Source organism: Homo sapiens, chromosome 22 (genome assembly GCF_000001405.40).
Source record: "Homo sapiens chromosome 22, GRCh38.p14 Primary Assembly".
In the NCBI taxonomy this organism is placed as follows: domain Eukaryota; kingdom Metazoa; phylum Chordata; class Mammalia; order Primates; family Hominidae; genus Homo; species Homo sapiens.
The window spans coordinates 20,836,150-20,854,961 of record NC_000022.11 but is presented as its reverse complement, the minus strand read 5'-3'; the positions used below and the strand labels follow the sequence as shown (position 1 = coordinate 20,854,961).

Genomic DNA, 18,812 nt, shown 5'->3' with positions numbered 1-18,812 from the left:
CAGGCTGGTCTCAAACTCCTGACCTCAGGTGATCCGCCCACCTCGGCCTCCCAAAGTGCCAGGATTGCAGGCGTGAGCCACCACGCCCGGCCAAGTTTCTTGTTCTTAAGAGTAAAGGAATTTTAGAGTACGCACCTGAGATAATAAAGATGGAGACTTATAGGGGGAGATGAGTATTTAAAACCCAATCCCTCCCCTTCTCTCTTCCCTCTTCCCCTTCTCTTTGCTTCTATTTTTTTCTCTTCTTTCTTCCTGAGAGATTGGAGGACTGCGTGGGGCTTGATCTAGATAGGGTTGACCTGGCGAAGGCTAAGTTTGCAGAACCAGACCTCACATCTCAGCTCAGACATTGGTAACTCAGGCAGCCCTGACATGGTTTTAGTGACACTTGAGGTACATTAATGACATAACCTTCCCTACCTTTGTCTCTCTACATGCCACAGTTGTGTTTACTTACTCTAGTCACTCACTCTAATCCCAGTCCATGAAACCAAGCCTATTACTGCTCTGTGGACTTTACTTAAAAAAAAAAATTACCTTAGGCTGGGCACAGTGACTCACGCCTGTAATCCCAGCACTTTGGGAGGCTGAGGCAGGCTGATCGCTTGAGGTCAGGAGTTTGAGACCAGCCTGGCCAACATGGTGAAACCCCGTCTCTACTAAAAATACAAAAATTAGCCAGGCGTGGTGGCGGACGCCTGTAATCCCAGCTACTTGGGAGGCTGAGGCCAGAGAATCACTGGAACCCAGGAGGCTGAGGTTGCAGTAAGCCGAGATCTCACCACTGCATTCTGGCTTGGGCGACAAACGGAGACTCTGTCTCAAAAAAAACAAAATTACTTTCAGAAAACATTTATTGAGCTCCTGCTGCTCCTTGGTATGTGCTAGGCCCCAGGTAAATCAGAAGCAGTGTTAATTTGATTGCTCAGGTGAACAGCAGCAAGTCAGCCTTGCTACAAGTTTCCCGTCTACTCTTTTTTTTTTTTCTCTTTCCTTTAATGAACCAATGAAATACCATAAATCCCATCTACTTTTTTTTTTTTATTTAATTAGAGATGGGGGTCTCACCATCTTGCCCAAGCTGGTCTCAAATTCCAGGGCTTAAGGGATCCTCCTGCCTTCGCCTCCCAAAGTGCTGGGATTACAGGTGTGAGCTACCCCAACCTGACCAAGATCCCATTCTACTCTCATATTTCAGGTCTGGTGACTAGACTCCTGCCATGTTCCCATAGCCAAAGCCAAGACCCTTGAGCATCTGTTCTGATCCATGGCTGAGCTTTGAGCTTTTCCTGCTAGGCTGTGCTTTAGACTGGGGTCCCACCCCCAGGATTGGAACCCACCTCAGAGGACACTCTGTCTGTGAAGCCCTTTGAACCAAATCCTACCCAGTCCTCAGCCCTCTCCCTCTGGGAGAAAGATAAGAAGAAAAAAATAGGCAAGAAAGAAAGTGAGGCTTTTCAACATTGGGATCTCCATATACAGTTGGCTTCCAGACTCCTCCTTCCTGATTTCTATCTGCCCGCTAGTCTTGTTCTGCTTTCCTGGTTCTCACCTGTCTTCAGAATGTTGCTGAGCCACCCCTACTAAGCTTCCTCCTGGCCCTGCCTGGTTAATCTTCCTTTGTCAGGGAAGTTCAGTGGCCTGTTTGTGTCTCTCCTCTATAGGCCTGTATTAAACCAGTGGGCCCTCGATCCTGGGATACCGAGAGTCATGGGCAGAGCTGCAAAGTAGATAGCATTCCTTGTCCTTCTATTCCTCTCCCCACCCTCAGGAGGCTTTGATCAGAGCCCTTTTTCCATGTCCTAAAATGTTCTCTTTGTTTTCTTCAGTTAGAATGCCAGAATCCTGAGGTGTCGTAGCTAACTATTGATCTGGTTTTTGAAAGAAAATAGAGACGGAGTCTCACCATTTTGCCCAGGCTGGTCTCAGATTTCTGGGCTCAAGTGATTCTCTTTTCTTGGCCGCCCAAAGTGCTGGGATTACAGGTGTGAGCTGCTGCACCCAGCCCGATCTGATGTTTAAATGGCACTGCGGCATTAGGGACAGGCTGAACCCTCCTTGGTGGACATATGTGCTCCATAAGATGAGTTAATTCTAATCTGTAGTTGGGAGAATATGTGGCTTGGTGCTTAGGGTAGTGGGCTTTCTGGAGTTCATGGTTATTCAGTCTGTACTTTAGAGTGGTCTGCCATGGAGTAAAAATCATAGTGTTGGCGTTTTTCCAGTATCATGAAGCCAAGAATTTCCTATCCTCTTTCCCTTTGCTTTGTGAGGCTATGTTAAGAAGAGCCATCCGTAGAGCGAGAGGAGAGAGATAATGAGGGTCAGCGGAGGGTATACGCGGTGCCAGAATCATTGTTATTAAATCAACTAGAAAATATTTTAAGAAGAAATTGGAAGAAGAAAAAATCTTTACCTGTAACCATGCCATATTAACTATTAGTTTGCTAGGCTGCCATAACAAAGTACCACAGACTGGCTTAAACAACACAGATATATTTCCTCCTCATTCTGGAAGTTAGAAGTTCAAGATGAAGGTGTCAGCAATGTTGATTTCTTCCGAGGCCACTTTCTCCCTCTGCCTTCACGTAGCCTTCCCTCAGTGCCCTCCTGTGTCACCAGCTGTTTGTCTCCCCAGGGGGCAGAAATGTTCTATTTCTCACTCCTTACTGCAGATTCTCTTTTCTGCTGTCTGTGTTTGCAGTTTGCACTCATTGGAGGTGTGGTTGCCTCTAATCTTTCCCACCAGCAGCTATTTCCATCATTGACGTCAGTTGCTGAAATTTATGCATTTTATCTTCCTGATTGCTTATTTGTTTATTTATTTATTTACTTTTTGAGATGGAGTCTTGCTCTGTCACCCAGGCTGGAGTGCAGTGGCGTGATCTCTGCTCACTGCAAGCTCTGCCTCCTGGGTTCATGCCATTCTCCTGCTTCAGCCTCCCGAGTAGCTGGGACTACAGGCGCCCGCCACCACGCCCGGCTAATTTTTTGTATTTTTAGTAGAGACAGGGTTTCACTGTGTTAGCCAGGATGGCTTATTTATATTTTTATTTTTGTATTTGCTTTTGTTGTATATGTTGGCATGCTGGAGAAAAGCTTGGCCTTTCATGAACATTGCCAAGTTGGCCAGAACGCTACTTTCATTTGTGTGGTAAACTGACAAATAAATACAGAGTTGAGGCAGAAATCCTCAGGTCTCACTTGCATTTGTTTATTGAGTCCTGAGAGGCTCTGTCTCTGCTGCAGAAGCCATTCTCTTTTCCTGAATGTTTTTCTGTGTTTAAAGCTTATCTGGAAGCCTGGATTCAGGATAACCAACGCAGCCGGGCACAGTGGCTCACGCCTGTAATCCCAGCACTTTGGGAGGCTGAGGCAGGCACATCACCTGAGGTCAGGAGTTCGAGACCAGCCTGGCCAACATGGTGCAACCCTGTCTCTACTAAAAATACAAAAATTAGCAGGGCGTGGTGGTGTGCGCCTGTAAGCCCAGCTACTTGGGAGGCTAAGACAGGAGAATTGCTTGAACCCGGGAGGTGGTGTGGTGAGCTGAGATTGCACCACGGCACTCCAGCCTGGGCGACAGAGCAAGACTCCGTCACACAAAAAACAACAACAACAACAAAAAAAACCCAAGGCTATACTATTATGAAAGCAAAAGATGGCACCATCCGTTCATATGATAAATCTTTGGGGGTTTGCTGTGTTGCAGGCACTGTGCTAGGCCCTGGTATTAGAGGGGTGGATAAATAGACATTAAAAAAAAAATAGATAGGGTCTCACTGTGTTGCCCAAGCTGGTCTCAAATTCCAGGGCTCAAGCCGTCTGCCCACTTCGGCCTCGCAAAGTGCTGGGATTATAGGCATGAGCCACTGTGCCTGGCCTAGACATTTTTAAAAATAGAAATTACATTTTTTTGGAGACAGTTTTGCTTTTTCACTCAGGCTGGAGTGCAGTGGCATGATCATAACTTACTACCACCTTGAATTCCTTGGTTTGAGGGATCCTCCTGCCTCAGCCTCCCAAGTAGTTGGGACTACAGGCACGCACATTGTACCTGGCTAAGTAAAAAAAGAAAAATTTTTTTAGAGATGGGGTCTTACTATCTTGCCCAGGCTTAGCTCAAACCGTGGGCTCAAGTGATCCACTCACCTCAGCCTCTCAAAGTGCTGAGATTATAGGCTTGAGTCACTGTACCCAGCGAAAATTTTAAAAAATTTTAGTAGGCCGGGCGCGGTGGCTCACACCTGTAATCCCAGCACTTTGGGAGGCCGAGGCGGGCGGATCACGAGGTCAGGAAATCCAGACCATCCTGGCTAACACGGTGAAACCCCGTCTCTACTAAAAATACAAAAAATTAGCTGGGCGTGGTGGCCTGTAGTCCCAGCTACTGGGGAGGCTGAGGCAGGAGAATGGCATGAACCTGGGAGGCGGAGCTTGCAGTGAGCTGAGATCACGCCACTGCACTCCAGCCTGGGTGACAGAGCAAGACACCGTCTCAAAAAAAAAAATTTTTTTTTAAATGAGTATTTATAGTCCCAGAGACCTATGGGGACTCCTTTAGCATGCGCCACCACAGTCAGCTAATTTTTTGTATTTTAGTAGAGACGGGGTTCCAGGCTAGTCTTGAACTCCTGGCCTCAAGTGATCCACCTGCCTTGGCCTCCCAAAGTGCTGGTGTTAACAGGCGAGCCACCGTGCCTGGCTTGAGTGTTTAGATTTTTGTTGTGTTACTTTAGGGAATGTTGGGCTTTGTTCTGGTCGGCAGTTGCTTGTGGTTTGATTTGATCCTTCATAGGCTAGGTTTTTCAATAGTGCTTTCTTGAGATATAATTCACATACCACAAAATTTACCCATTTAAAATGTACAGTTCATCATATTTAGTGTATTCACAGAGTTGTCCATCCATCACCATGATCAATTTTAGGTCATTTTCATTGCCCTCAAAAGAAACCTTGCTGTTACCCTGCAGCCCTACCAGCCCCATCCCTAGACAACCACTAGTTTACTTTCTGTCTCTGTAGATTTATTCTGAACATTTTGTAGAAATAGAATTCTATAAGATGTGGTTTTTTGTGGTGGCTTATTTTTATTTTTATTTTTTTTTGAGACAGAGTTTCGCTCTGGAGCCCAGGCTAGAGTGCAGTGGCGCGATCTCGGCTCACTGCAAGCTCTGCCTCCCAGGTTCACACCATTCTTCTGCCTCAGACTCCCGAGTAGCTGGGACTACAGGCGCCCGCCACTGCGCCCGGCTAATTTTTTGTATTTTTAGTAGAGGCAGGGTTTCATCGTGTTAGCCGGATGGTCTTGATCTCCTGACCTTGTTGTGATCCACCTGCCTCGGCCTCCCAAAGTGCTGGGATTACAGGTGTGAGCCACTGCACCTGCCATGATGGTTTTTACTTGGCGTATTTTCAAGGTTCATCCATGTTGTAGCATCTCATTACTTCATTTTTATTACTAAATAATATTTGTATGCATATACCATATTTTATCCATTCATTAGTAGGTGGATGTTTGGATTGTTTCTACATTTTGACTATTATAAATAACGCTGCTATGGAAATTCACGTACAAGTGTTTCTGTAGACATATTTTCATTTCTCTTGGGTCTTTAACTAGATGTGGAATTGCTGGGCCATACAATAACTCTAGGTTTAACCTTTAGAGGAACTCCAGACTGTTTTCCAAAGTTACTACACCATTTACATTCCCACCAACGGTGTACAGAGGGCTTGTTTTCTTTACATTGTCACCAACACTCTGTATTGTCTGTCTTTCCAGTTATAGCCATCCTAGTGGATGTGAAGTGGGATCTTATTATTCTGTTGTTGATATGCATTTGCCTGATGGTTAATGATGTTGAGCCAGCCTATTCTATCCTAGAACAGCCACTCTTTTGGGGTATTTGTAGATCTTCTTTGGAGATATATCTATTCAGATTCTTTGCCCAATTTTAAATTGTAGTATTTTTTTAATTAAGTTGTAATAGTTCTTTATTTTAGATAAAAGTTTCTTAATAAGATATATGATTTGCAAATATTTTCTCCCATTCTGTGGGCTTTTTCACTTTCTTCATGGTGTTCTTTGAAGTACAAAAGTTTTAAATTTTGATGATGTCCATTTTGTCATTTTTTTTTTCTTTTGTCCCTTGTGCTTTTTGTGTTGTATCTAAGAAACCACTGTCTAATTTCAAGGTCACAAAGACTTACACCTGTGTTTTTTGTTAGCAGTTTTATAGTTTAGCTCTTACATTTGAGTTTTTGATCCATTTTGAGTTAAGATTTTATGTGATATGAGATGGGGGTCCAGTTTCATTCTTTTGCATGTGAATATCCAGTTGTCTCAGCACGATTTCTTGGAAAGACTATTCTTTTTTCCATTGAGGGGTCCTGGAACCCTTGTCAAAAATCAGTTGACTGTAAGTGTGAGGGTTTATTTGGTCTGTATGTCTTTCCTGATGTTGGCTAGTATACTGTCTTGATTACTTTAGCTTTGTAGTAAGTTTTGAAATTGGGAAGAATGAGTCCTCCAATTTTGTCCTTCCTTTTCAAGATTGTTTTTGTTATTCTGGGTCCCTTGAATTACCATGGAAATTTTAGGGTTAGCATGTTAGTTTCTGCAAAGAACTCACCTAGGGTTTTGACAGGGATGGTGTTGAATTTGTAGGTTAGTTTGGACTGTATTGCTATATTGTCCCTTTTTTTTTTTTTTTTTTTTTTTGAGATGGAGTCTCGCTCTGTCACCCAGGCTGGAGTGCAGTGGCACAATCTCAGCTCACTGCAACCTCCGCCTCCTGGGTTCAAGCAATTCTCCTGCCTCTGCCTCCCAGGTAGCTGGGACTACAGGTGTGCACAACCATGCCCGGCTAATTTTTGTATTTTTAGCAGAGACAGGGTTTTGCCATGTTGGCCAGGCTGGTCTCGAACTCTTGACCTCAGGTGATCCACCCACCCTGGCCCCTCAAAGTTCTGGGATTATAGGCGTGAGCCACTGTGCTCGGCCTGTATTGCCATCTAAACAATAGTAACTGTTTTGATCTATGAACATGGGATGTCTTTCCATTTATTTAGGTTTTCTTTACTTTTAGCAATGTTGTAATGTTTCTTAGTTTTGCACTTCTTTTGTTTTTATTCATAAGTACTTTTTCTTTTTGATGCTATTTTAAATGAAATTGTTCTACTGGTTTTTTTTGTTTTTTTTTTTGAAACAGGGTCTCACTATCACTCAGGCTGGAGAGCAGTGGTATGCAGTGGTATTATCACAGCTTACTATAGCCTGGACCTCCCAGGCTTAAGCAGTCCTCCCACCTCAGTCTCTGAAGTAGCTGGGACTACAGGCACAAGCCACCATGGCCTGGCTAGTTTTTGTAGAAACTGGGTTTCACCATGTACTCCAGGTTGGTCTTGGGTTTCACCATGTACCCCAGGCTGGTCTTGAATTCCTGGGCTCAAGAGATCCACCCGCCTCAGCCTCCCAAAGTGTTGAGATTACAGGCGTGAGCCACTGCACCCAGCCTCCTGGTTAATTTCTAAAATTTTTTTTAGAGACTCACTATGTTGCCCAGACTGGTCTCAAACTCCTGGGTTCAAGCAATCCTCCTGCCTTGGCCTCCCAAAGTGCTGGGATTATTACAGTTGTTTTTCTTTTTACATTTTTATTTATTCATTTTTCTTCAACTTTTATTTTAGGTTCATGTGCAGGATGTGCAGGTTTGTTAAATGTGTGCCATGGTGGTTTGCTGCACAGATCTTCTCATCACCTGTGTATTAAGCCCAGCATCCATTAGCTATTACTTTTTTTTTTTTTTTTTGAGATGGAGTCTTGCTCTGTTGCCCAGTCTGGAGTGCAGTGGCGTGATCTCGGCTCACTGCAACCTCCACCTCCTCGGTTCAAGTGATTCTCCTGCCTCAGCCTTCTGAGTGGCTGGGATTACAGGCGCGTTGCACCACACCCAGCTAATTTTTTTGTATTTTTAGTAGAGACGGGGTTTCATCATGTTGGTCAGGCTGGTCTCGAACTCCTGATCTCATGATCCACCCACTTCGGCTTCCCAAAGTGCTGGGATTACAGGCATGAGCCACCGCACCTGGCCCCCCACCCTTTTTTTTTTTTTTTTTTTTTTGAGCCTGCACTATTGCCCATGCTGGAATGCACTGTGGTGATCTCAGTTCACTGCAATCTCTGCTTCCCAGGTTCTAGTGATTCTCTTGCCTCAGCCTCCTGATTAGCTGGGACTACAGACGCTTGCCCCCACGCCTGGCTAATTTTTGTATTTTTAGTAGAGATGGGGTTTCACCATATTGACCAGGCTGATCTTGAACTCCTGACCTAAAGTGATCCACCCGCCTTGGCCTCCCAAAGTGCTGGGATTACAGGCATGGGCCACTGTGCCTGACAGCTATTTTTCCTGATATTCTCCCTCCCCCACCTCACAGGCCCCAGCGTGCGTTGTTCCCCCCACTGTGTGTTCCTGTGTTCTCATCATTCAGCTCCCACTTATAATTGAGAACGTGCAGTATTTGGTTTTCTGTTCCTGCGTTAGTGTTTTTCTTTATTATTTTTTTTTAATAATTGAGATAAAGTTCATATAACATAAAATTAACCATGGAATAGTTTTCTTAATTTGCTCATTGCTGCGTTGTAGAAATACAATTTATTTTCTTTTCTTCTTTTCTTTTTTTTTTTTTTTTTTTTGAGATAGAGTCTTGTTCTGTTGCCCAGGCTGGAGTGCAGTGGCGCGATCTTGGCTCACTGCAAGCTCTGCCTCCCGGGTTCATGCCATTCTCCTGCCTCAGCCTCCCAAGTAGCTGGGACTACAGGCACCCGCCACCAAGCCTGCCTAATTTTTTTGTATTTTTTTTTAGTAGAGGCAGGGTTTCACTGTGTTGGCCAGGATGGTGTCTCAATCTCCTGACCTCCTGATCCGCCCGCCTCGGCCTCCCAAAGTGTTGGGATTACAGGCGTGAGCCACAGCGCCCGGCTGATTTTCGTATCTTAATCTTGTGTCCTGTAACCTTGCTGAATTTGTTTGTTAGAAGGTCATGAATCTGTCTACAGATGACCAAAGAGCATCTTTTTTATTTTGTATTTTTGGAGACAGGATTCTGCTCTGTTGCCCAGGCTGGAGTGCAGTGGCACGATCATAGCTTACTGCAGCCTCTAACTCCTAGGCTCAAGCAGTACTCCCACCTCAGCTTCCCAAGCAGCTGGGATTACAGGCACTTCCCACCGCGCTCAGCTCAAAAGCGCATCTCTAATGAAACTCTGATCCAGGGTGCTTGTAGGATCAGGTGCTGTTCCATTTACATTTGTAGGTCCATGTGTATCATGTCACAGTCACCTTTGTTTATCATGATAGCTCTGAGTCACTTCGAAAATATCAGCTTATATTCAATATTTTTTGTCTGAGGGGATGGTACATTTGAGAAAGACAATTACAAATGGTTTTAACAGAAAAATATACCATTAATACTTAAATCTTAGTCTTTTGTTCTCAGAGAATTTTGTTTCTCCAGGAAGACAATTCCCAGAGGTTTTAAATAACAAGTAGTACTCTTTTAAAAAAATCATTTAATTATCCAACTTTTATAATGCTATTATTGTAGCTTTATTTTGACCTAAATACCTTACAAATACCCTCTGTTATGGTTGATTCTCATCTGCAATTTTCTGCCCAGTCATCCAGACTTACTTTCTCCTTGAATCTTATTTTCTCCTTGGTTTAGCATTTCCTTACCTTGGCAGTCAAAATTCACATCTTTGAGATACCTGTCTTTTAATATCCTTGGGTTAAAGTATTGCCAAGAGTTCTTATCAAAGTCTAAGTCAGTCATATTTGTTGCCTCCCTGTGGTCCATTGACTTAACAACCTTTTGAAAGTGGTGGGTAGAAGCCCTCTGGATCCTTTTTGTAAATGGGAATAACCCTGGCCATCGTGGTCAGATTTTGGGCTTAATGACTTTTTATAATGACCCACTCCCCCTAAGACCCCTAAAAACAAACAACTTGCTAGTTTATTGTAAAATTCTGATTCTGAAAAGCCATTTGATGTTATTTTTCTTTTCATTTTTTCAAAGACTAGAGGGTTAATGCTTTATCCTGCATTAGGACTTTGACCTCTCTGTGTCTGTTTCATCATATGTAAAAGGGGGATGATTAATAATAGCTACCTAATGAGCTGTTGTGAGGATTAAATAAGATAATATAGATGAACACATGATAAATGTTCAATATGTGTTAGCTGTCATTATTTGGAGAATGGCACCCACCAGAACTGGGTGTGATGGTTTCTGTAGGACCCAGGTTCAAGTTTTCAGATGTCTTTCTAATAAGAGTCCCAGTTTCCAAGAGCATTTTGCTCCAGGCTTTCAGGGCCCTCTGTCGTTTAGTTTCTGACTTGTGTTATTTGCTAGTTGTATTATTTTTATTAGTTTTGTAACTCCTGCTGGATTGTAACGCTCATGAGGGAGTGACTGTACATTATATATTACTTCATTTGAGAGTTCTTCCATCCGTCCCTCCATTCATTCAGTAAGGCAGCAGATACTTGTTCAGTGTCAACTGCATGCCAGCACTGTGCCTGGTACTGACTATATGACAATTATCACAGTGTAGTTAAACCCTGCTTTCTAGTAGCCCTGTACCTCTTTTCTTTCCTCCTCACCTTATCAAATGTCTGTGACCTTGGCCGCTTTAGTCCCATTAAGTAGTTGTTAAAGTTCTGAAATGTGTAGGGTGCAGTGGAGTGATGAGGAGGTCACAGGCCTCTCTGCAGTGAGAGGATAAGTATACAAGTAACTGTAAGACATCAGGAAGGTAATTATCTTGAGAAATACAGAGTTCTATGTGAGCTATTGAGAGATATGATGGGAGATATTACATCAAGTTGCTGGGGTCTGGAAAATGTTTGAGAGTTTTGAGACAGTTGAGATGGATCTTGGAAGGATGGGTTGAATTTTTATAGGGGAGATAGGGCAGGTTGGACAAAATGTTTCAGATGGGTCAAAACCATGGAAGAGGCCAGGCAGGGAGAAATGAGAATTGATACATAGCGGCCTGGGTTTATGAGAGAAGTTTTGGGGCTGGGAGTGTGCACTGAGTGTTCATTGGGCAATGGGGAACCATTGAAGGTATATGAACCAGAAGTGGAAATATTGGAGTAGGAAGAGACAAAATGAGAAGGAAGATGTAGTTAGGAACCTGTTGCCTCAGGTGCACTTAACTTATCTGGACCTAGTTGCCTAACCTGTAAAACAGGAATAGGATAACACATGGCCTGCCTGAAAGTGAACGTTTGCTGGTTGCATCTGTGCAACCTCTCCTGACCTTAGACCTACACTTCTTCATATGTTTGGGAGTTGTCAGTGATCCTTAGGCCTGCAGTTCAGGTAAGCATATCAGTGCAGCACATGAACTTCGGTATATTCTGTATTTCTTTTCTTTTTCTTTTTTTGTTTGGAGATAGGGTCTTGCTTTGCCACCCAAGCTGGAGTGTAGTAGTGTGATCACAGCTCACTGCAGCCTTAACCTGCTAGGCTCAAGCGATCCTCTAGCAATCTTCCCTCCTCGGATCCCCGAGCATCTAGGACTACAGGGGCATGCCACCGTGCCTGGCTAATTATTAAATTTTTTGTAGAGACAGGGTCTTGCCATGTTGCCCAGCCTGGTCTTGAACTCCTGGGCTCAAGCAGCCCTCCTGCCTCAGCCTTCCAAATTGCTGGGATTACAAGCGTAAGCCCATGCCTGGCCGTATTTTTTTCTGATTCTAAAGTTATCAATATTTTTTATAGAAAATATGGGAAATACAGAAAATAATAAAGAAGGAACTAAATATTGTCTGTAATTTTTTTTTTTTTTTTTTGAGACGGAGTCTCGCTCTGTCGCCCAGGCTGGAGTGCAGTGGCGCAGTCTCGGCTCACTACAAGCTCTGCCTCCCGGGTTCACGCCATTCTCCTGCCTCAGCCTCCCAAGTAGCTGGGACTATAGACGCATGCCGCCACGCCTGGCTAATTTTTTGTATTTTTAGTAGAGACGGGGTTTCACTGTGGTCTCGATCTCCTGATCTCGTGATCCGCCCACCTCGGCCTCCCAAAGTGCTGGGATTACAGGCGTGAGCCACTGCGCCCGGCCTTTTTTTTTTTTTTGAGACAGAGTCTTGCTCTGTGGCCCAGGCTGGAGAGTGCAGTGGCACAATCTCGGCTCACTGCTATCTCCGGCTCCTGGGTTCAAGCAATTCTTGTGCCTCAGCCTCCCGAGTAGCTGGGATTATAGGCCCAGGCCACCACACCTGGCTGATTTTTGTATTTTTAGTAGAGATGGAGTTTTGCCATGTTGGCCAGGATAGTCTCGAACTCCTGGCCTCATGTGATCCGCCCACCTCAACCTCCCAAAGTGCTGGGATTACAGGTGTGAGCCACGGTGCCCGGCCTATTGCCTGTAATCTGATTACTCAGTTTGATACTTTTCTTGATAGGCAGTCCAGTAGGCTTTGAGTTTTGTTTAATTACCAGTGACCAATTACATTAGTTTCCTATTACTACTGTAAATAAATTGCCACAGACTTGTTGTTAGAATAACACGTTTATAATTTTACAGTTCTGTAGATTAGAAACACAACCTGTGTTTCACTGGACTGAAATCAAGGTGATGGCAGGGCTGTGTATCTTTTTAGAGACTCTAGGGGAGAACTCATTTCCAAGCCTTTTTCATTTTTTTTTAATATGTATATATTGAGATGGAGTCTTGCTCTGTTGCCCAGGCTGGAGTGCAGTGGCGCAATCTCAGCTCACTGCAACCTCTGCCTCCCGGGTTCAAGCAATTCTCCTGCCTCAGCATCCCGAGTAGCTGGGACTACAGGCACCTGCCACGGGGCCTGCCACCATGCCCGGCTAATTTTTGTATTTTTAGTAGAGATGGGGTTTCACAATGTTGGCTAGGCTAGTCTTGAACTCCTAACCTCAGGTGATCCACCCACTTCAGCCTCCCAAAGTGCTGGAATTACAGGTATGAGCCACCGCACCCAGCCATCATTTCCAAGCCTTTTACAGCTCCTAGAGCTGCCCACATTCCTTGATTTCTGGCCCCTTCCTTCATTTTCAAAGGGAGCAATGGTTGGCCAAGCCCCCATCTCACATCACTCTGACTCCCTCTTCTGCCTCTCTCTTCTCCTTTTAATGACCTTTGTGATTGCCCTGGGCCTATCTAAATAATCCAGGATATCCCTCCATTTCAAGGTTCTTAATTTAATTAGATCTGGAAGGTCTCTTTTGCCATGTAAAGTAACATATTCACAGCTTCCAGGGGATTGAGGGTGTGGACATCTTTGAGGTGCCATTATTCTGCCTGACATGCCAGTGTAGTGCATAAATCATGGAATCATTACATGGATCTCTGAGTTGTTCTTTTTGGTATCTTCACTTCACATTTAAAGCTATGCCTGGCTTTTAAAGTAATTTCTGAATGGTCACAGATTATTTCTATTTAAATGTTTTTAGTTGAGTGGGGATAGGGGAGGAAGGTCTGAAGTCAGAGTACCCCAGAGCCCCTCTGGGCATTTGAAAGAGAGGAGGCCCTGGCAGTCCAGAGGAATTGAGGATGGTAAAAAATGCTGCCTTCAGTTCTTTCTACTGGGTGGGGTGACCGCTGCACTGGCAGTATGGCTAAACTGTGTTGATGATGCTGAATTCTGATCCTGGGATATTGTTAGAGCCCAACCCAGAGCACCTGGCCTGAGAGAGGAAATCCATTCTTATGCTTTATGTAAAAAAGAAAGCCTTGGTGGCAGGGTGCGATGGCTCATGCCTGTAATCTCAGCGCTCTGGGAGGCCGAGGTGGGCGTATCACCTGAGATAAGGAGTTCGAGACCAGACATCTTGGTTTTGGTGGGTTTTAGCTGGCTTCTTTACTGCAGCCTGTTTTATCAGCAAGGTCTTTATGACTTGTATCTTGTGTTGACTTCCTGTCTCACCCTGTGACTTAGAATGCCTGAACTGCCTGGGAATGTAGCCCAGTAGGTCTCAGCCTCATTTTACCCAGCCCCTATTCAGGATGGAGTTGCTCTGGTTCACACGCCTCTGACAATAGCTGATTAATTTTGTTATTTTTTTGTAGGGACAGGGTCTTACTGTGTTGCCCAGGCTGGTCTCAAACTCCTGGGCTCAAGTGATCCTCCTGCCTCGGCCTTCCAAAGTGCTGGGATTACAGGCATGAGCCTTGCACCTGGCCTGGATACTTTCTAGTGTGGTAAAGAGGCAACTAAAGTAATCTCTCCCATATCCTGTCCATCATCAAGTCCTCTTAACTCTTCCTTCAAAACACATCCTGAACTGGTCTGTTTCTGTCTCTACTCGTTGATTGCTACCATGCTAACATCTTCGCCTCAGCTGCTGCAGGAGTCTCCTCAGCTGCTGCAGGAGTCTCCTCACCTGTCTCTGTTTTCACTCTTGTCCTCCAAAATCCATTTTCTGTGTATCAGCCAGAGGGATTCTTCTAGACTTCAGTTCTAAACTTGATGCCCTAAGGCCTCTATGTGTTTGTTATTAGGATACAATTCAGGCTTCTGACCTGGCCTGTGGGGCCCTCTGGGGACCTTCTCTGTCTGGACCTGAACTCCTGGGCCTCCTTGCTTCTTCTTTTCCACTGTGCTGCTGCAGCAGCAGCCTTTCCTGATTTGTCCTGGCTTCCTTCTTGATCAGATCCCAATTTAAGGAACCATCTTAGAGAGGCCCTCCCTGATCACATTATCAAAAGTTGTCTTTCAGGCACTATTGTTGGAGAAATAATGATGTTATGCCAATTTTGATGAGTTTTCAAGTCTTCGTGCTGTCTTCTAGCACATTAGTTTCATCTGCCAGGTTTGTAGTGGAATGTATCTTCTGTGTTTTAGTGCAGGGTATTGATAAAGTATTGCATAGGACAGAGCAAAGTACATAGGCTTTGATAGGGCCAGTTCTTCCCTGTGCTTCAGTGATTGACTCATTAATCAGCATTCTTTGAATCTCATTGTCTGCTTTTGCCTTCCACTAGCCACTATTATAGTATATCCAATAACAATAGATAATGTTTATTGAGCATTTACTATATGCTGTGCTCAGTCCCAACTGCTTCACACATTTGATTTTTTTTTTTGAGACGGAGTCTTGCTCTGTCGCCCAGGCTGGAGAGTGCAGTGGTGCCATCTCGGCTCTCTGCAACCTCCGCCTTCCGGGTTCAAGCAATTCTCCTGCCTCAGCCTCCTGAGTAGCTGGGATTACAGCCGCTCGCCACCATGCCTGGCTACATTTTGTATTTCTAGTAGAGACGGGGTTTCACCGTATTGGCCAAGCTGGTCTCAAACTTCTGACCTCGTGATCCGCCTGCCTCGGCCTACCAAAGTGCTGGGATTACAGGCGTGAGCCACCGCTCCTGGCCATGCATTTGATTTTTTAAAAGAGTCAGTGAGGCATTGTTAATGCAGGTTGGTTTGGGTAACCTGTTCGTGGTCAAGGGGTGGGGACACCCACTTAGACTGTCCTAACACCAAAATGCAAACTTTAGCCATTGTGTCTTACCCCCTCTGAGTATACACAGTTTTAACCTTCAGCTCATATTACTCAGAGTTTATGTGTTTTGAGGGGCACGTGTACAATTGTTTCAGCAGCTGGAGATGTCCTGTGATCTTTTAACTGAAAAAAAACTATGACTTATTGGTTACATGGACTCTTTGGGGTTTATGGTAGTGGTTTTGTTTGTTTGTTTGTTTTTGAGACAGAGTCTTGTTGTGTCACCCAGGCTGGAGTGCAGTGGCACGATCTTGGCTCACTACAACCTCTGTCTCCTGGGTTCAAGTGATACTTCTGCCTCAGCCTCCCAAGTAGCTGGGACGATAGGTGTGCGCCACCACGCCTGGCTAATTTTTGTATTTTTAGTAGAGATGGGGTTTCACCATGTTGGCCAGGCTGGTCTTGAACTCCTGACCTCAGGTGATCCACCTGTATTGGCCTCCCAAAGGGTTGGGATTACAGGTGTGAGCCACTGCACCTGGCCTATTTTTTATTTTTATTTATTTAAGAGATAGGGTCTCACTATGTTGGCCAGGCTAGTCTCAAACTCCCAACTCAAGTTATCCTCCCACCTCAGCCTCCTGAATAGCTGGTACTGCAGGCATATGACACTGCACTCAGCTTGCTTTATTTTGAATGTGGTTTTCTATTTTGTAGAGCTGTTTTTGGGGGGGTCTCATTTTCTAGGTCCAAAAGCTTCTTTGCATGTGTCCAGTGGATTTCCATGGGATCTTCCAGTTAGATGAAAGACGGAGAGATGCAGTGATTGCATTGGGCATTTTTCTGATTGAATCTGATCTTCAGGTAAGTCTTCATGAAATTAAAAGTTTCTTCATTGTAAAAGGGGGTGTAGTGAGCGTTTAAGTTTGTATCTGCTTATATTTACCTAAAGCAATAGTAGAAGAATACATTTGAACCTAATCAAAGTGGTTAGTGGAGAGGGTAGGACAAGGTGGGAATGAAACTTCCTAATGTAAACCTTCTTAGAAAATTTGAGTTTTTTAGAATTGTGTGCATATATTATGTTGTAAAAAAAGTGTATTTTTGTTTGTTTGTTATTATGTGCCACAGAGTAAGTTAAAATGCTTTGAGAAGTAATTGTGTGCCTTCCAGGGTAGGTTTGGTTTTCAAGCTCAGGTAAAATGCTTATCAGTCAGACTCAGGGGTATTGTATTTCTCCTTCCAAAAGGACAAAATCATTTTAGGTAATTTTGATATAATATCATCTTTTTCAAAATTGCGATTATGTATATAAACTTTTAGAGTATGTATCAGTGTATCTTGTTTTTTTTTTTTTTGAGATGGAGTCTTGCTTTGTCACCCAGGCTGGAGTGCAGTGGTGCAATCTCGGCTCACTGCAACCTCTGCCTCCAGGGTTCAAGTGATTCTCCTGCCTCAGCCTCCTGAGTAGCTGGGATTACAGGCACCAGCCACCACTCCTGGCTAATTTTTTTGTATTTTTAGTAGAGACGGGGTTTCTCCATGTTGGGCAGGCTGGTCTCAAACTCCTGACCTCAGGTAATCCGCCTGCCTCTGCCTCCCAAAGTGTTAGGATTACAGGCGTGAACCACGTGTGAGCCATCATGCCTGGCCTCAGTGTACCTTTTAATAGGGACTTAAAATCTAGCCCTGTAGCTCCAACAAAAAAATAGTGTGACTGTTGTGTATGTGTATTTTTATATTTACCAAAGCTATTTGAAACAAATGATTGATCATTGGATATTGAATCTTTTATTTATTTATTTATTTTTATCATTACTAGATACTATTTCTAAATTCCAAGTTAATTATGCTGTGTTAGGTAAATAAAGATGTTAGATATTTGAATATTTATCTAGAACAGGTTGCTTCCATCTCCTGGAAATTTTGCTCTAATAAGCATTAATATTTTAACAGTATTTGTACATTGGAAACAAATAAGAATTTTAATTATAGAGCAGTATTTTAATAATTAAATAGGTTACCTGATCAAGGTTACATAAAAAACCAAAATTAGATACATAAGCTACATTTTGGCCTTTCTTCTGCTATTTATTTATTTATTCTTAGAGTGTCACTCTATCGCCTAGGCTGGAGTGCAGTGGCACAGTCATTATTTAATGCAGCCTTGAACTCCTGGGCTCAAGGGATTCTCCCATCTCAGCCTCCTGAGCAGCTGGGATTATAGGCATTGGCATGATTTTTTAATTTTCTGTAGAAATGAGGGTCTTGCTAGGTTGCCCAGGTTGATCTCCAACCCTGGTCTCAAGTGATCCTCGTGCCTAGGCCTCCCAAAGTGCTGGGATTACAGGCATGTGCCACCATACCCAGCTTGCCTGTTTATTTATAAATGTGAAAAGAAAGAAAACCATTTTTTTTTTCTGTTTACCATATCCTACATAAATATAAAATGAATTATAAAGGGCAAAAAATAATTTTAAAAAAATTTATAAGAAACTATTGTTGTTCAAATGTGGATTACTTGATAATATCTTTGGCAAACACGTTTCTTGATAGATTTACCTGTAAGTCCTGAAAGTGTTGTACTTGTATTAGACTTCTTAAGATGACAACAAATAGATGAGCACAAGTGTCATTCAGGTTCTGGGTAAGGACTAGCAGGGTCCCAGGTGGCATGTGATGTTGTCCCTTGGACCATAGAGTTTGCCTGTATGTCCAGGGCAGCCCACCGGCCTTGCATATACTAGGAGAGAAGCCTAGCATGCTTTGCCAGCCCCCTGAGAAAGCCCTAGGGACCACCTTGGTTTTTACCTGGTGCTTATATTCCTTGCTTCCCTCCAGGATGGGCTGTGCATTGACCTCCTTCAGGTCCCAGCAGTGGGCTGCCATGGTAGCAGCTGTGGCCAGAGGAGCTGAGGTGGTTTTACTCACCCTGTGCTGCTAATGTCATCACAGTTTATATAGGAAAGAGCCACCTGGAGCCACTTCCTCTGCAGGAGGCCATGTGGTTCAGGCCTTATGGAGTTTTGTTCCTGTCTGTACACTAGGATCCTCGACAGATGTCTTAGCCAGTTCCTTTTTATGGTTTAGAGAAAAAACTTTTGTTTTTGATAAAGTTCTTTGTTTTTAGTTATCTATTATGGTATAACAAAGTCCCCCCAGACTTAGTGCTTAATACATCATTTTGTTTGATTCGTGAATCTGCAATTTAGACAGGGCTCAACTGACTCCATTTAGCATCGGTTGGGGTGGCTCAAAAGCTGGGGGCAGGAATCACCTGAAGTCTCATTCATGGGTCTTATCACAGCATAGTGTCTAGGTTCCAGGGC

The 18,812-nt window shown here is 43.9% G+C and overlaps 1 protein-coding gene across 8 annotated transcripts in view; it reads left to right on the top strand.

Annotated features, from left to right (window-relative positions):
- Nucleotides 1-18,812, top strand: part of PI4KA (phosphatidylinositol 4-kinase alpha) — a 151,121-nt gene that overhangs the window by 3,850 nt on the left and 128,459 nt on the right. For all 8 annotated transcript variants that reach the window (NM_001362863.2, NM_001362862.2, XM_005261635.2 and 5 more), the window contains exon 2: nucleotides 16,231-16,347. In NM_001362863.2, the coding sequence (NP_001349792.1) occupies nucleotides 16,231-16,347 (117 nt within the window). The remainder of the gene's footprint in view (nucleotides 1-16,230; nucleotides 16,348-18,812) is intronic.